The sequence below is a fragment of the Homo sapiens genome, chromosome 11 (assembly GCF_000001405.40).
Source record: "Homo sapiens chromosome 11, GRCh38.p14 Primary Assembly".
NCBI lineage: Eukaryota > Metazoa > Chordata > Mammalia > Primates > Hominidae > Homo > Homo sapiens.
In genome coordinates this window covers 120,819,281-120,836,283 of record NC_000011.10, presented here as the reverse complement: position 1 = coordinate 120,836,283, position 17,003 = coordinate 120,819,281, and the positions used below count along the sequence as shown (strand labels likewise).

At 49.9% G+C, this 17,003-nt stretch overlaps 1 protein-coding gene across 22 annotated transcripts in view, besides 1 other annotated feature; it reads right to left on the bottom strand.

The window, feature by feature from the left end:
- The window catches only part of GRIK4 (glutamate ionotropic receptor kainate type subunit 4), a 477,159-nt gene that overhangs the window by 152,623 nt on the left and 307,533 nt on the right, over positions 1-17,003 (bottom strand). For 18 of the 22 annotated variants that reach the window (NM_014619.5, NM_001440404.1, NM_001440403.1 and 15 more), the window contains 2 exons: positions 16,364-16,529; positions 4,254-4,432 (listed from right to left, as the gene is read on the bottom strand). In NM_014619.5, the coding sequence (NP_055434.2) occupies positions 4,254-4,432; positions 16,364-16,529 (345 nt within the window). Of the gene's footprint in view, positions 1-2,368; positions 4,433-16,363; positions 16,530-17,003 lie in introns of those variants that run through there. The other 4 variants (NM_001440416.1, NM_001440419.1, NM_001440417.1 and 1 more) reach the window with 1 other exon arrangement.
- Positions 1,565-2,065: an enhancer, noted in NCBI's record as "H3K4me1 hESC enhancer chr11:120704928-120705428 (GRCh37/hg19 assembly coordinates)". NCBI's record gives its function as "activates a minimal SCP1, AML or CMV promoter by ChIP-STARR-seq in primed H9 embryonic stem cells {active_cell/tissue: H9 hESC(primed)}" and the evidence as "EXISTENCE:reporter gene assay evidence [ECO:0000049][PMID:30033119]".

Genomic DNA, 17,003 nt, shown 5'->3' with positions numbered 1-17,003 from the left:
AACGAAAGGCTAAGTGACTTGCACAAGATCACATGTCTCATTAATGGAAAAGATAAAAGCAAATCCAGGCAGCCTAATTTCAGTGCTTTTATCCAAACTCTATACTCCCCCTTCAGGACTGTCACACTGATGGAACCACAAACACAACTCTCTTTGGGGCCCTGGCATAGATAAGAGAGTCCGTAGGTTGTAGCAATGCAAATCAACTCCACTCTGTCAGAGTGCAGGGCAGAGTCATAAGGGTATTCTTGAATCTGCAGTGACGTCGGAAACAAGTGACTCATTTGCAAACTTGGGTCCTTTATTTGTCGTAAGGAATCAGTTGCCTGTGGCATGCCTCACCCTTGATCACAGCGCATCAGTGTGGCATCACTCCACAGTTGAGAACTGCTACATCAGAAGAGTCTCCCTTTTGTCTGATCTTTGTACCCGTCATAAATACCCCTAGCCAACCTTCCCCGTCAGTGTGCCTGGCTTTGAGTGTGACAGGTACTATAGAAACTGACACGTAGATCAGGAAAATAATGAGCCCCGTTCTCTCTGGGGACCCTCATCCCTCCTGACAGTCGGCTAGATTTTCATAATGTATTCTGCAGCCCTGGGCCACTGGGAGACCCGTTTTGTCATGACTATTGAGGTGGATGGAGGAGAAACCAGACCAAGGATGATTACATTTTTCCTCTTACATAGTGTTCATCTCCCAAGGAACTCAAATAATTTTGTGAGCTTCTTTTTTTGTTTGTTTGTTTTTTCTTTGAGTCAGAGTCTCACTCTGTCACCCAGGCTGGAGTGCATTGGCGCGATCATGGCTCACTGCAACCTCCGCCTCCTGGGTTCAAGTGATTCTCCTGCCTCAGGCTGCCAGGTAGCTGAAATTACAGGCACCCACGACCACACCTGGCTAATTTTTGTATTTTTAGTAGAGATGGGATTTCGCCATATTGGCCAGGCTGGTCTTGAACTCTTGACCTCAAGTGATCTGCCTGCCTTGGCCTCCCAAAGTGCTGGGATTACAGGCGTGAGGCACCGCGCCTGTAATCTTATAGGATTCTTATAGGAACACTTGCAGGCTCCCTGAGGAGCAGGTCGGGGGTAACTCTATCATGGTTGTTCCAATGGGAAGCTGGAGGGCAAATGCTCAGTGACTGGGGCAGGAGTCTCAGGGCACAAGGGAGCTCAAAGCCTCTTTGGTGAGGCTCCTTCTTCCTCCAGGCCAAGCTATATTTCCTCCTTCACTTTCAAGAGGATGATGTGGCAAGATGACCAACCCATCCTACGCCCCACTGCACACACACAATCACACTGTCCAAGTAAGAGTGCTGCTGCATCTCACCCCTGCCTAGACGGATGCGACCCACGGAGCGAGCCCGCTGCTTACAGCGACAGGCTGGGGGCAGAGGGTCCGGGCGGGGTCACAGTGGGGAGCTAAAACCCGCTTTGTGAAATCTGCTGTCCTAGAGATAAAAGACAAGAGATCCTTGGTTTTTAAGGCCTGATTTCTGGGTAAACATGGAGTTCGTTGCTGGAACAGCCGCTCAATAAAATCAGGGATTGCTCTGCAAATCCTCCTGAAATCAAGAGATGGCAGAGTGTTGCCAAGCTCTAGGGGCTGGACTCCCACGTGCACACTGAGTCTCCCAGAGGCCCCGTGTGCTCCCTGCCCACTCTGCTTCCCATCCTTGCTGAGGCCCTGAGAGGCCCTGTTGTGCCCTCCTGGAGGGAAGAGTACGGAGCCCCAGGGAAGCATGAGGACAGAGGCCAGGCCTGATGGAACGCCTGCCTGCCTGGGCCATTGGGAAGGCAAATGGGCAAAGGGAACAGGCTTTCCTGAAGCCTTGCTGCTCATTGATCAGTGTGGCTCCAATGTCACAGGAGTTGGGGCTGACAGGTGAGCTCAGGAAAGACAGCCCTGAGGCATCGAGCAGAACCATTTGCTAATAATGATCACTACACTACAGGCAGAGCTTCCTTCAAAAGCATGGCCACACACACACACACACACACACACACACACACACACCTATAAAGTGTTTTTAATTAACATACCCAGTATTGGCAAGGGTGCTATAAGACACCTATATGCTGCTGGCGAAAGTGTAAACTGTTACAGCCTTTCTAAAATGCAATCTGGCAAATCATATCAGAATCCTTAAAAGCATGCGTACCTTTAACTCAGTAATTCCACTTCTAGAAATGTATGCTGGGGAAATATTCATGAATGTGTATAAAGATTTATGTACAAAGATGTGCACCTCAGCATTATTTATTGTAGCAAAAGATTTGAAACAACCTGTATCTCCAACAATAAAGTGATGGTTAAATAAATTATGGGAACTCTGTATGATAGGAAATGAGGCAGCCATTAAAATATTTCTAGAAAAATGTTTAATGACATGGGGAAAATGCACGGCATAGAATTAAGTGTGGACAAAAAGCGCTTACAGAAAAGTTTGTGCAGTATGACAATAATTTGGGGGAAAAATGTGTCTGTAAAGCAGAAAAAAACAGACATCAAAATTTAACAGTGGTTAAATAGCTCTGGGTGATAGGATTGTGAATAATTTTTAGTTTCTTCTATGTGCTTTCTGTTCTATATGTTCCAAAATTTCAACAATGAACTAGTAATGCTATTCGAATAAAAAAAATAATAGTGCAACATCAGATGCTGGGAGCTATGGAGGGCACAAGGCTGGCCCCCAGAAGCTTCTACCTGGGGGCTGTTCAGGCAGGCTCCAGCTACCACAGGGGGAACCTGTGTATTCTGAGCTACCTTCCACAAGGGTGGTGGAGGGACATCTATCTACTAAGCTGAAGCTCTCACTGCCTGCTCCCAACCTTCCCTAAAGAGGGCCCCTCTCCTCTCGTGAAACTTGGTGGAGCTTTTCTACCCTTAATGACTTCATTGATCATGGCTCCAGGCATAAGAGAAAACAGAGGAAAAGGAAGAAAAGAGAAAAATATTGTGTTTCCGTGTGTGTGTGTGTGTGTGTGTCAGAGAGAAAGAGAGAGAGAGAAAGAAAGAGAGAGAGATAATGTGAGTTGGGTATACGCACACAGACAGACATGGCTTTGGAGCTCTGGAAGATTACTATAGCAACGGGCTGAAGGGACAGCCCTCAGTACTGAGAGAACTCATTCAAATCTCTTATTAACTCTGAGTCAAAAACGAGCTGAGGAGGGGCAGCTGGGAGGGAGGGAGGGAAGGAGGGGAGACAATCATCTGAGTGTCTGCGGGCTCCTCACAGCTTGGCAGAGGTTAACGAGGAGCCTCGCTCCCCCAGTGGAAGACGGCAGGTTGTGCTTAAACGTGCAATTAAAATGGCATTAGAAGAGGCCAGTGCGCCTGGAGAGGTTGGGGGAGCCGCCAAGGAGCCTGGAAACGGGGCCCGTTCTCTCCGAAGTTCATGCCCAGCCCAGCCACCAGCCCAGGAACTGACGTCAGGTGACTCCGATGCTACCCAGCTATTTCCAGCAGTTTGTCCTGTGTGGGGCCCCTAGGCTCCCGACGTCTCTCTCTCTTGGATCAGCCTCACTCACAGAGTTCTGGTTTCCAGTGTGCATGTTCTGACTCAGGGGCTGGCACTGCCCCTCCAACTCCAGGAGCTTAGGAGACACTACCTGATTTGCAGATAAGAGAGGGTTGTGCAGGCTCAGCCCTGCTCCACTCAGGGCTGGGCCTTGGACGCATCTGTTCATCTCCCAGAGTCTCAGTTCCCTCTTCTGTGAGGGAAGACATTATACCTACCTCATGTCATTGCTGAGAGCTCTACGCTGGGAGATCGACTACACAGAAGTGCTGTGTAACTGTTGTGCACCGTGTCAGGACTAAAGACAGAGCTGGCATTCAGCAGTACACACTGGTGTGATGGTCCTGTTGTTAAACTACGGAACCATTTCTATACCATTTGGCAGACAGCCTCTGCCCAAGCCCCTTAGGTGCCCCACCCTAGCCCCTCCTAGGAACCCGCAGACCTCTCCACAGAGCCCTTAGCAGGGTCTAAGTTTGGCAGCATCTAGGTGTCTCCGTTGCCTACTGCCCTGCTGCCCCAGTGCTGAAAACGACATCACCCTCACCCTGCTTTCTTCTTTCATTTTTCGGGAACCGCTCATTGAAAACAGAAGCACAGAGAGAGGTTTGTAAGAGTTCAGGTCCAGCCCGGGGCTCCGTCAGCCTCAGCTCAGGAGGACCCTCAAGGCAAGGAGGGGGGAGGGTGGAGCTCAGCAGGGGGTGGGGGAGAGAGGGAGGCTCCCACCTTCAGGAGGATGGTGTGGGACATGGAGGCGTTGGCGTGGATGATGATGGTGGCGGTCTTGTCGTCCCGGATCTCCTTGAGGAGCGGGGTGGGGTCCCGGGTGTCATCCAGCATGCGGACGGACAGCGTGTCCTTGGAGATAAGGAATTGCCGGAGCAGCTTCTCTAGGTTTAAAAGGCCTGGAGGGGAGAGAGGATGAAGCCCCTGAGGGTCCACAGAGCTGCCTCTAGAGACACCTGGGCAGAAGCAGGAAGGCACGGAGATGTGGGCTGGAAGTGGGGTCGGGGGGTCTGGCCCCACTGACAGCATTAAGGAGACAGATCATAACCTGAGCAGGTTTCTCAGCCTCTTTGGGCTTCAATGATCCCATCTAAAATAAAAGAACACTTCTGAGTCCATCACCTCCCCTGACTCCCTCGAGAACGTTCTTTTAAGGTAGAGACGGAAGCTCCCTTGGGTGGAATAAGAGAATCCCCCCTCCTCCCCACCACCCTCGAAAGCCGGATAGGATGCACAGAGACCAAGACCTGGGTTCAGAGACCACCAGGCCTGAGTCTGCTTCCCTAATTCATGGACTTCTCCATGTGGCCAGTTGTCTTGGCCTCAGTTTCCTCAATTGAGAAGTTAGAATTATCACAGCAGCCAGCACTCAGGTCCAAGGCAAGGATTACAAGAGGCCACGTGTGAAGGGCTCAGGCCCGAGCCTCGGACACATTAAACCCTCACAAATGTTACACTGGGCTCTGTAAGAGCCTTTGTTTTCATTTTGGAGGTGGAGGAGCAATTCCCTTAAGATCCCAAGGCCCAGAAAACAGATCTAGTAAAACGCTTTGAACTCCTCAGAGCCTTGTGGCTGCATTAAGACAAAGTATTATGATGATCATAAGGGAACAGGCTTTGAACTGCACTCCAGCAGGCAAGAATCTGGGCCCAGAACAAAACAGAAAAAAGGGACTGTGCACCAAGGACCTACCCCTGCCCTCCCTCACTCCCTCCTCTCCCACCCACCAGCTATTTGATGCCTAGGGCCCTGGTGGGAGGAGGGGTTCCAGAATGATGTCACTGAGACATGAGGGTCTTAATTCTGCCTTGTCTTTGGAAAGGCATGCCAGCCAGCAGAGGGTATGTGTGTATGGGGTGGGGGAGGGAAATGTGGGGGGTGGGGGTGATGTGGGGGTGCAGGAGGCAGAGTGTGGTCTCAATTCCCATGGAAAAAGACATCACGTAGGCGTTTGCTCCCAAAAGCAATGATAAGGGCAACATTTATCAAATGCTTATTGTGTTCCAGTTAATGTGCGAAACATTTTACATGGCTTATCTCATGTAAGTCCTCACGACAATCCCATAAAGTATTATAATCCCCAGCACAGAGGAGAATCGGAGGTAGGAAGGACGAGCAACTGGCCTCACACACTGGGATGGCGAGGGAAAGGTTGGCTTTGTAACCAGTCCAAGGCCCCGTGCTGCTGGTTTCTGTACTGGCTGATGGGATATTCAACTCGGGGATGGCTTGACTACAACCCCGGAAGACTTTCCTGCATAGGTTACTCACCACCCAGGCCAAAAAGGAGGGAGAGCCTCCCATCCACCTCCTCGCATTGCAGATTGGTGACATGACTTACTCAGCAAACAGAGACACGGGGACACAGCTGGGACCAGAATTCTGATCTCAGTTTTCTGATTTCTATCCAACCCTCTTACCATGAGACCAGGCTGCCTCGGAGGACAAACTCAGCTGGAGGCAGTGGGCACAGTGCCTGGGAAGGTCCAGAGACACGTGTCTCAGGGATTAGGAGAGGGAAGCTGATGCTGGTTGTGTGTCTGTGCTTTTTTTTTTTTTTTTCTTCATAGGAAGGAGAGGGTAGTGGAGTTGGAGCCCAAGGGACTGGCCTGATAGAGACAGCTCTGGGAAGGTGCTGCCAACCCGTCTTCCTGTCACCTGTTTTGAGAAGGCTTTCTAGGGAGCTGGAGGCTGTGGCAGGTTGGGAAGAAGCCCTGGGAAGGCCTGTTATTTATTAAGATGCTTCAGAAACAGCCCAGCTGTGCAAACCACAATGCTGGCCTTTCCTCTCTTCCCTGACAGGGTTTCGATGGAGACTTGTAAAGACTCTCTGCTGCCGCCATCTGTGCCCCTCACAGGCCCTCACCACTGGCCCCCACAACAGTGGCACTGATGTTGCCAGGTTACTCCCTGCCAATCCTGATCCCAAAGCTCTGGATTCAAGCTCAGGGTCAGCCCTCCTTGGCTAAGTGACCTTGAGAAGTTGTCTAACCTCTTCAAAGCTCCATTCTTCATCTGTAGAATGGGCAAAGGAGGATGAGAACTCACTGTGATCGTATGAGAAAGGCTGCCGGGAAGTGGGATGTACGGTCTCCATGTTACTCCTGTATTTACCCATTCCCAGAAGTGCTCCAAGGGCAGGCGCGGTGAGGCAGATGAAGAGTCAGGCAAGGACACATCTGTTCAACCAACAGTCTCTGGCATGTCCTGAGTGCCAGGCATTGTGCAGACAGGACACCAGGCAGAGAAGACGGGTCACATACAGTCCCTGCCCTCAGGAGTTTAGGGTCCCGGCACTCGCAGCTAAGTTGCTGATGAAGTTCAAATCACATCCCCGTTTTGTTTGGCAGCCTGAATTTAATTTTTTTTTTAGGGGGCAGCCTCATTTTGTCCTATATGTAAAGTGGAGAGAGTATTTACCGCCTCTTCCTCAGAGATGATGTGAAAAGCTAACTCCTACCTGGACAAAGGTCTGGGTGTCTGATCCAAAAGACACTCTTAACAAGGAGGTGGAGGGAGGCCACGGAGCTGGTGCATCTGGAGTCTCAGCTATCTCCTGAGCAGGCTGTGGGTGAGGGTGCCCCACAGCTGGAGAGGTGAACAAGCAAGGGGTGGCAAAGGCAACCTCCCCACGTCCTAGAATGGAGCATGAAGAATCTTTGGAGCCTGACTGGGAAAGAGGCCAAATTCCCTGGGATTCTTCAGACAGGCAATGAAATTCAGTGGGACGAGACAGGGAAGGCTGGGGGATGACAGCAGGGTTATGCATAGCATGGTGCTGCCTGGCAGAGGCTGCCGGGGATGCTTTATTCCTTTGCAAATGGCAGGTGCACGAAACTCCCAGGGAAAGAGAGCCCCCCAGATGTCAGATAAACTGGGGACCTATTCCAATCAATTCCCAGCCTGCTACCCCTTGGAGAGTTCTGCTGTCCTTTAAACAAAGAACAGCATCATTCCCCATCCCATATAACATGCTCTGTGTGCTGAGACGCGGGGCGGGGACAGGAGAGAGGAGGAGGCGGCGAGTCCTCTGGGAGGTCCGCATCCCGCCCAGAATTGCCTATCAGTCAGTTGTTCCATTTCCCAACCTGGACACACCTGGCTCAGCACAAAGAACCCAGTCTGGGGACATGAGTGCCAACCCCAGCAATGCCAGGCAGGTTACTATGGCAACAGCCCCACCCCTCTGTGCCTCAGTTTCCTTTTCTGTGGAATAAGGGGAGTGACTACATTACAGGGTCATTAAGAAGATGGCAACTACAAGGGGCTTAACAAACCTTGTTTCCCACTCACCCCCCAACTACCCTTTACCCCATCTCCTCCCTGAAACCTTCTCTCCATTCTCCAGCCTCCACCCTCTTCTCACGTCTCCCACCTCTTACAGGATTATCCAACCCACCAAAGATAGTCTTGGTTTTAAACCATAGAAAGTATTTGAGAGCACGTATATGCGTAAGTATGTGTATGTGCATAGATGTGTGTGTATATATTTGTAATATACAGTATGTGCATAAATGATTTCAGTGTTAGGTAGGGAGCCCATTTCAGACTTCCCTGCATAACCCCAGTGCAGGCAGGGTGCATGGTGCTTGCTGGATTGGACTGATGTAGAGACTGTGGGGGAAGAAAGTAACTAAATCCTAACAAGTCAGGGGAGCAGCAGTGCCAGGCAGGAACCGTCGCCATGTCACTTGAGGAGCAGCTGACTTGGGTGCCTGGCCAGAGGGAGAGAAGGAAGGGCTGTCATGAGGCAGGCTAGCTCTTGGCAGCTTCAAGGACTAAACCCAGGAGTCATGAGGGAGTGGAAGTCACAGGGAGACAGACTCCAGCTCAACGTAAGGAATAACTCTTCCTTTATGATGCAGTGGGCTGCCCATGAGGTAGTGAGTTCCCCATCACTGGAGGTAGTCAAGGAAAGACCAAAGCCCCTCTTGAGGATCACTATAGAGGGAATTAAACCAGTGGATGGAAAGTCGAACTAGTAAAACGTTGATGTCTTTCCAGCCCAGAGATCCTCTAATTTTATGAATCAGAAGAGGATACTTTTTAATTCTAGGCAGTGGAAGAAATTTACATTAGGAAAAGTGTGGTTTAGTTACATTGAGAGTATTAAGAGTTTTCAGGGCAGTTTGGCATTTTCGAATTGTCATTCTCCTCACCTTTATCTGTTTAATGGAACTAAGGGATTCACCAAAGGCAGCTGCCATCACAGGGGTTAAAAGCTGCTCTCTTCCCCACACCCCATCCACTTCCACCCCCACCCTCCTCTCCTTCCAGACCATGGCCCAGCAGCAGGCCTGCCTGCCTGCCTGCCAAGTCTAAGGCTGAGAGGGGCCTAGGGAACCTATTAGCCTTGCTCAGGATGCAGCGGGACGGATCGATGAGAGAGTCGGCAGGCAGGCTGTTCTGGGAGGAAGAAGGGAGGCTGGCTTCTGGAACTGGAAGGCAGGGGCCAAGAGGGGTGGGAGGAGGATGTCGAGGTAAGGAAAGGCACAGCCAGGGGTGGACACAGCCGCAGGACAAGGACACCAAGACCTAAGCGATGAGTCTGCAGGGGACACAGAGGACCCTTGTATCAAAAAATATTATAAAAATAAACACCTCTTTCAACAAGCTTCCTTCCCTCTTTACTGGCTGGAGTAGTGCCTTGGTCCTGGACCAGCACTTTTTAACCTTGTGGGAAGCAGTTCATATAAGATTGATCTTTGCGGATTGTGGTGAGGATTTAATGAGATAGTATGAATTCAATATGGCACATAGTGTCCTAAACCTAAACCTTCCCCTTCCCCCTGCCAGGTGCCCATGCCTCAGGGTGTGCGGTTGTCGGACCTGTTCCATGGAGCGAACCCTCACCAGAGGGACAAGATGAGGGTCCAAGGTGTCCCCAGGTGGGGAAGGGGCACAGAACAAGTTCAAGTTCTGGAATGACGTATTTTACCTGCATCCCAAATTTGTCCCATCCTGCACCTAAGCTTTGCTCCAGGAACAGGCAGGGAAGACCAGCAGGGCAAGAGGAGAGGGAGAGAGGAGCCAGCTGAGGCTTCTTGCTCACAGGTGGACCGTAGGTGGCCGTGTTTGGCCATCGAGGCTGTCCCTTCTACAATGGCAAGAATGGGTGTCGGAAGACCCCGGCCTCTGTGTTCCCATCAGCCTCCTGATTTCAGGATGTGTTTCCAGCTTGGGCCTCAGCTACTGGGACCTGGTAGACATCCCTGCTCTGAGAATAACCTTCAGTGTTTCCTAAATTCCTTCACATACACAACTGATTTCATCCTCCTGACTGCCCTGGGAGGTGGATATTATTATCCCTGAGTCAAGACAGAATTGCTGGGGCGGGAGAAATTCAGTGACTGAGATCATACGGTCAGAGGTCCCGGGACAGGCCAGGATCCAAACCCAGATTATCTGATTCCACATTCTGGTCTCTGATACATGGGATGGTCTCGGTCGTCCCATACTGTAGGAAAGATGGTCCCTCACTTCTCTGTCTTCTTTAGGAAAGCTGGGAGAGAAGGTAGCAGGAATCATGTGACCTTGAAGATGGAGATAATCTCTCTTTTCTTCTGCATATAATGAGAATGTTGATAGAGCCCATCTTATACGGTTATCATGAGTTATACGGTTTAAATAAGAGAATCTAAAATTTAAATGAGATAATATAAAAACCCTTAGCATGGTGTTGGGCACGTAGTAAGTGCTCTGTAATGGGAGGACTGTGACCTTCCTGGTATCAGCACAGAGCTGCATGGTTAATTTTTTATCATTATGAGCAAAAGGCCTCCCACAGGGCCTCCGGGGGACAGCACAGGGAAGGCCCACTACCATCCTGGTTACTCTTCCAGGGCCTTGGGTATCACTGCCTACTCCCCATCCTCCACCCCCACTGCCATAAGCAGAGTTGCAGAATAAAATAACAGTAATTAAATGTGGTATCGTGTTCTGGGCCCAGTTACTTTCCCATCCAATTACCTCAATAGACATTATTATCGTCTTGTTACATGGGAGGAAACTAAGGCTCAGAGAGGCAGATTGACCTGCTCCGTGTCACACAGCTCCCAAGTGGTGGTGCAGCTTGGCTGACTCTGGTATCCTGCCGTTCTCTTTGACAGCACATCCTCCCCAAGGGCAGGGACTGCCTCGAGATCCAAGTCTGCTCCTCTCTAGTAGCCTGGGCCACGTTTGGTGATCACAGGCTGGTAGGAGGACAAAGCCCGACCTCAGCTGACTCTTGCTCCCAGGTCTGGCCTTGCCTCATTTGAAAGAGATCAGAGTAAGGGAGGAAAGGAAAACTCATGTGTGCCGAGCATTTCCTCGGTGTGGACACTGTGTTATTCACTCTCCAGGTGTCATCTGTTGAATCCCCTCAGCCATCCCGGGAGCGAGGTTTCACTGTTTATACATGAGACAACAGAGGTAGAGGGTAAAGTCACTTTTCCAAGATCTCACAGGTAGAAAATAAGTAGCAGAAGATGTGGGGACACAGGCCATGTAACCACAAAAAGGACATTAAAATATTCAGAAAGAGGCCAGGCGCGGTGGTTCATGCCTGTAACCCCAGCACTTTGGGAGGCTGAGGTGGGCGGATGACCTAAGGTGAGCAGTTTGAGACCAGCCTGGCCAACATGGTGAAACCCTGTCTCTACTAAAAATACAAAAAGTTAGCTGAGCATGGTGGCTCACATCTGTAATCCCAGCTACTCGGGAGGGTGAGGCAGGAGAATCGCTTGAACCCAGGAAGCAGAGGTTGCAGTGAGCAGAGATCGCACCATTGCACTTCAGCCTGGGCAACAGAGCAAGACTCCGTCTCAAAAACAAACAAACAAACAAACAAAAACAAGCAAACAAAAAACTCAGAAAGAAATATAAAAGCAAGCATTAAAAAATAATAATAATAAAATAAGGCCAGGCACAGTGGCTCATAGCTGTAATCCCAGCACTTCGGGAGGCCGAGGCAGGCAGATCACCTGAGGTCAGGGGTTCGAGACCAGCCTGGCCAACATGGTGAAACCTGTCTCTACAAAAAAATAAAAAAATTAGCCAGGCGTGGTGGTGCATGCCTATAATCCCAGCTACTTGGGAGACTGAGGCAGAAGAATCACTTGAACCCGAGAGATGAAGGTTGCAGTGAGCTGAGATTGCGCCACTGCACTCCAGCCTGGCCAACAGAGTGAGACCTTGTCAAAAAAAAAAAAAAAAGAAAAGAAAAAAAAAAGAAGGAAAAAAAATAAGATTTGAGACATGTAGGAAGATAGCAGGGAAATACACGGCATGTTATACCTGTGGCTTCGGGCCCAGCCTGAGGTCAACAGGTAGATCCGCGGCAGGGCTGGGTGATCTGACCAACAGGCCCTGGGCACCCACAGTGGTGAGCCCCAACTCTCCTTGGAAGCCCCCCAGTAGCCAACTCCCTCAGGCTCTGTGAGCTCTGACCAGGAGGACCACACCTGGGCTGCTCATCACATCTCCTCCCCCAGCCTCATCAGAAACAGGCACTTGCAAATGTTCTTTTTTTCCCATTAAAGAAAAATAATGTAATATACAATCTCTCTCTACTTGGTCCAAAACCTGCTTATTAAAAATCTACTTTTGGGAAGGAAGAGAGTAAGTGGCATGATTCTCCATGGAATTATCTCCGTTATGCCTAATTTTCATGGCTGGAAAATAGAATTAGATTCTGCTCCTAATTCTACTCACAGTATCTCTCAGCCCTGCATTAATAAGGAAGATGGAAGAGTGTCTCCTTCAGAGCTCTGAGCTGCATTTCCCTTCGGTCCCTCATTTTCTCATCCCTTGATTAGATTTTTAATCCTCTGTGCCCTTGAACTTCTGCTCTGCTCCACCTTCCCTGCTCTGGCCCTGGAGGGTGGGGACTGGAGTCCCTCAGCAGCCTCAGCAGGTGAGTTCCAGCAGCTCTGTGTTGTGTGCCTGCCAAGTCCGCTGGGATGTGGGCCGTCCCCTACTGCACCTGGACAGGCACATCTGCTCCAGAACCTTGTCTGTGCTTAGCTGTCCTGCACCCCTGCTCGAGGGAACAAGGGCACATGTTGTTCAGAGAGATCTCTGCCCTTCCCTGAACACTGCACCTGCCAGGCAGAGCCCACCCTCGAACCACTGCTCCAGGGCTGTTTGTGCAGACCATGATGGTGGAAGGGGGTCATGGAGAGGGAAGAGCCAGCTTGAAGATCAGAGGACTAAGATAAAGTCTTAGCTTTGCCACGTACCAGCTGTGCGACCTGGCGTCCCTTAATACCTCCAAGACTCTGTTTTCTCAGCTCTGGAATGACCGGGGAGGAGGGAGGTAAAATGGAGAAATGTTAAGTGAAAGTGCTTTGCCATCTGCACGGAACTGTTTGAATGTCAAGGAATGTCATAATTCTAATGGGAAGAGCCCTGGGCTGGGAGGCAACAGTATTAGCATAGTGCTTAGTGTGTAGTAGATGCTTAGCAAACATCTGAGCAACCTGTTTCCCAAAAGCCCAGCAAGAGCTGAAGCAGAGGAAACAAGTCTCAGCCTAAAAGCAAGCCAGACTGTGACTAGACACAAAAAGAACTTCCTGTCAGGTTGGTGAGATATTGTACCAGCATTGAGGAAGACTGCAGGACCATCTTTGCCTGGAGACATTTGCGGATACCCTCTGTCTCTTAACAACCCCGCTGTGTACACAGGGTACACCAGTTCAGTCCTGCCAAAATGGGCGTGTGGCAGTCAGTTCTAGGGGAGAATCCTTGAGCCTGTTACACCATTCGATGGTCCAAGGGCACCACAGGAGGAAAACCACCCAGTGGAATGCAGAGCTTCCCACTGTGTTCCTTGAAGTGGGAACATCCTTCAGGCTGTAAGATCAGCATTCTTTTTTGGCTCATGGTCAAACTTATTTGAAAGAAAATGAAGCAAATACATGTTTTGGCCACAGGACATCTGAGTGTGTCCACGCTAATGTGTATCGTCAACTTCCTCCACTAGGAGGAAATAGAATGAAGGGTTATCCAAACATTATTTTTTTGCCATAAAACTCCTGGTCCACAAAACACGTATCATCAAAGCCGAGCTGTCCTGTAGAACTTTCCTCCATGATGGGAATGTTCCACACTTGTGCTGCCCAACACAGCAGCCACCAGCCACGTGGCTACTGACCACTTGAAATGTAACAAGACTGAGGAACTGGATTTCTAAGTTTATTTAATTTTAATCAATTCATATGTACACTTGAATAGCCATACGTGGCTTGTGGCTACTGCTTTGGTCATCACAGATCCAGAGGAAACCCATTTGATAAATACAGGTGTAATGACGATGGTGCACTGGACTGTGATTCACAGAATCTGGATTCAAATCCAAGCTCTACCACTTACTAATTATGAGACTCTAGCCAAACCAAGCTACCTTCTGGGCCTCCCTTTCTTCTTCTCTAGCTGAGGGGGTTAGAATCTATGTTCACTGATTTCTTGCCAAACCCCTTTCATGGAAGCCCTGCTGGAGAACTCCAGTGTACCTCAATTATCATTTTACTGTCTTTTTTTTTTTTTTTTTTTTTTTTGAGATAGGGTTTCCCTCCTGTCACCCAGGTTGGAGTGCAGTGGCATGATCTCGGCTCACTGCAACCTCCACCTCCAGGGTTCAAGTGATTCTCGTGTCTCAGCCTCCCAAGTAGCTGGGATTACAGGCGCGTACCACCACACCCGTCTAATTTTTACATATTCAGTAGAAACGGGGTTTCTACTACATTGGCCAGACTGGTCTCAAACTCCTGATGTCAAGTGATCTTCCCACCTTGGCCTTCCAAAGTGTTGGGATTACAGGTGTGAGCCACCGCACCGATTTTACTGTGTTAATTGCTTCATGACCATCGACCCTGCTTAGTTTTCCATCAAGTCTGCTTCATCTTTGAGAACAGAGGCTGCGTGTTGCTCTCTTATGCCGTACATAGAGTGTAAGGGTGCCCAGCACCCAGGAGATGCTCGAAGACGCCTGTTGACTGCCTGAGTGATGGACTGGAGTGCTCCTGAATGCACCCAACTTGCTGGTGCCACTCAGGGTCTGCCTGTTGAACAAGGCTTTGAGTTCAACTTTCTTTCTCCACGTCTGAGGGTCCCCAGCTCCTTGGGTCTAATTCCAGTTCCCAACTCCTTTGCCCTTTTCACAGACCCAAAACCAGTTGTTCCACAAGGGCACACCCATGATGAGAACTGCCTCGCCTTAGAAGACATTCCTTAGAGAGTGACCTTCAAGGGCTCGCAGATGACACAGGACCAAGTCCATGTTCCTTGCCTGCTACAAGGATCTCTGCTACCTTCCCCAGCCTCTCTTTCCATCTTTATCCAGCATGGACTCTAGGCTCCAACCTACTTCCCCTAGGCACAGCATCAGGATCCCTGCCTCCCTCTCTTGCTCCTCATCTGGCATGACCTATCTCTTTCCCTCCTTTTCTAAATCATTTTTATCCTTTGAGATCCAGTTGAAGCCCTGCCCACATCCCAAAGCCTATCTAGCACCCTGTACTCAGGGACACTCTCCTCGACTGGCCACATTGCACATTTGACACTTAGCATAAACCACTCTGGGCCTTCTCAGATCAGTGGCAAGGGCCCTATTTTCTCTGCATCCACTGCAGGGCTCTGGAAGAGCTTTCAACTTGAAGTGAGGAGGCCTGTATTTGAGTTTGGGCCCTGGTGCTTAAGTTGTGTGGCCTTGGGCAAGTCATTTCACCTCCTAGAGTCTCAACTTCCTCAACTTTGAAATGGGGAGATCTAACACCTCCAAACCCACTGGGTGGTCACAGCTGAGTTGGAACTCAGTTCCTTGATTTCTTGGGTAGCACAGATTGAATATTCAATAAAATTGTACTGGATAAATGAATTAAAGCACATGCCAGGCACAGAGGTCTGGGAAAGTAGGTGGTTCTGACTCTTAATAGAGAGGTGGCTTTTGTATTTGGAGACTGTGGGGATTCCAGGATGCAGGAAGGGCTTGAGAAGGCAGAGCAGTTCTGAGAAGCCATAGAAAGGAGCCCTAATAAAGATGGAATCGCTCTGCAGTGCAACCCATAAAAACCCCCAGGTAAGCCCTGGACAGGTGAGCTGCGCAGGACACAGGTGCCTGGGGCTCAGGCACTGGGTTCCAGCAGTAGCCAGTGGCCAGCACCTGTTTGACCACATGTGGGTGCACAGCTGCCGCCGGGAGCACACAGATGCACAGATTTGCTGGAAGGTGCTGGCTTAAATTAGCTAAATCTCATAAACACTAAATTTATGTCACAAATTGACTGAGAGTCATAGAAAACACATTTCCAAAACCTGCATTTGCTAAAAAATGCTTTATCAGGAATTGACCTCGGACCTTGTTCCATCAGCAAAACCTGCTCTCCAGGGGAAGAAGTTCTTCAACCCATCAAGTACAAATGCATCCAATTTTATATGTTCCCTCTCTCTCTTTTTGTATCTCCTTGACAATGAAGCTGAGAATGTGGGAATTGAGTTTGCAGATGCAAAAAGGCTTGGCGGTTGGCCAGTCTCCTTGTAACCTAGTTCCCCTCTGTTCCACTCATGCCCAGGGAGTCCTGGCAAGTAGTACTCCTGGATGGACTCCCTCCCCATCTCTCTCTCTCTTTCTCTCTTTTTCTCTTTCTCTCTTAAACACACACACACACACACACACACACACACACACGGACACATGAGCATGGGAATGCCCAAACCCATTGGTTATCAGCCCTGTGGATCTGAAGGAAGCCTCCCCTTCCTGGAGGGTCTCCAGCCAGGGGCACAGGGAATCAGGGCAAAATCAACAAGACTGGACTGTCTGGGGCAGAGCCAGCCTGGGGAAACTTACATTCTGCTTTGGCACAGATGAGGCAGGCGGTGGTGCAGTTGAAGAAGTTCAGGATCCCAGCTACAGCCACGCTGATGTCAGTGTTGCTGGGGTGGAGGTTCAGGGTTGTGAATCTCTGGAACTGGAACTTGACGAACTCCTCTGGGGCCACTTTGAAGTGAGGGACCTGGCAAGAGGAGCAAAAACGGACAGCAGGGAGGATCCAGGTGGGTGAAAAGGAAGAAAGAGGGATGAGTGAGCTGAGGTTGTGGAGGGTGAGTTCTTTTATGTAACACCTTCGCCAGACACCAATGGGAGAAGGAGCTCCCAGGGCACCCACTCCGTGGGAGGAAGACGAGCGATGACATCCCTGATGATGCTTCAAAGAAGCAGCCCCAGGACAGAAAACTATTTGTCCAGAGACCCGGATGAATGCACCGTGGGTCTGCAAGCTGGGGTCTGTGGTCCTGAGAAGGCAAAAGAATCTATCTTTATTCTTAGAGGAACTGCCTGCTGCTGGCAGAGAGACAGTTGGCTCTTGAAAGCATAATCCTTAGAATATTTTATTTGTAGTTAATACATCAGAGCAGAGACGGCAGAAAGAGAAAAATCGCTACCCTGGGACTAAGAGAAGAGTCCCATCAGCCCAGCCCAGCCAACA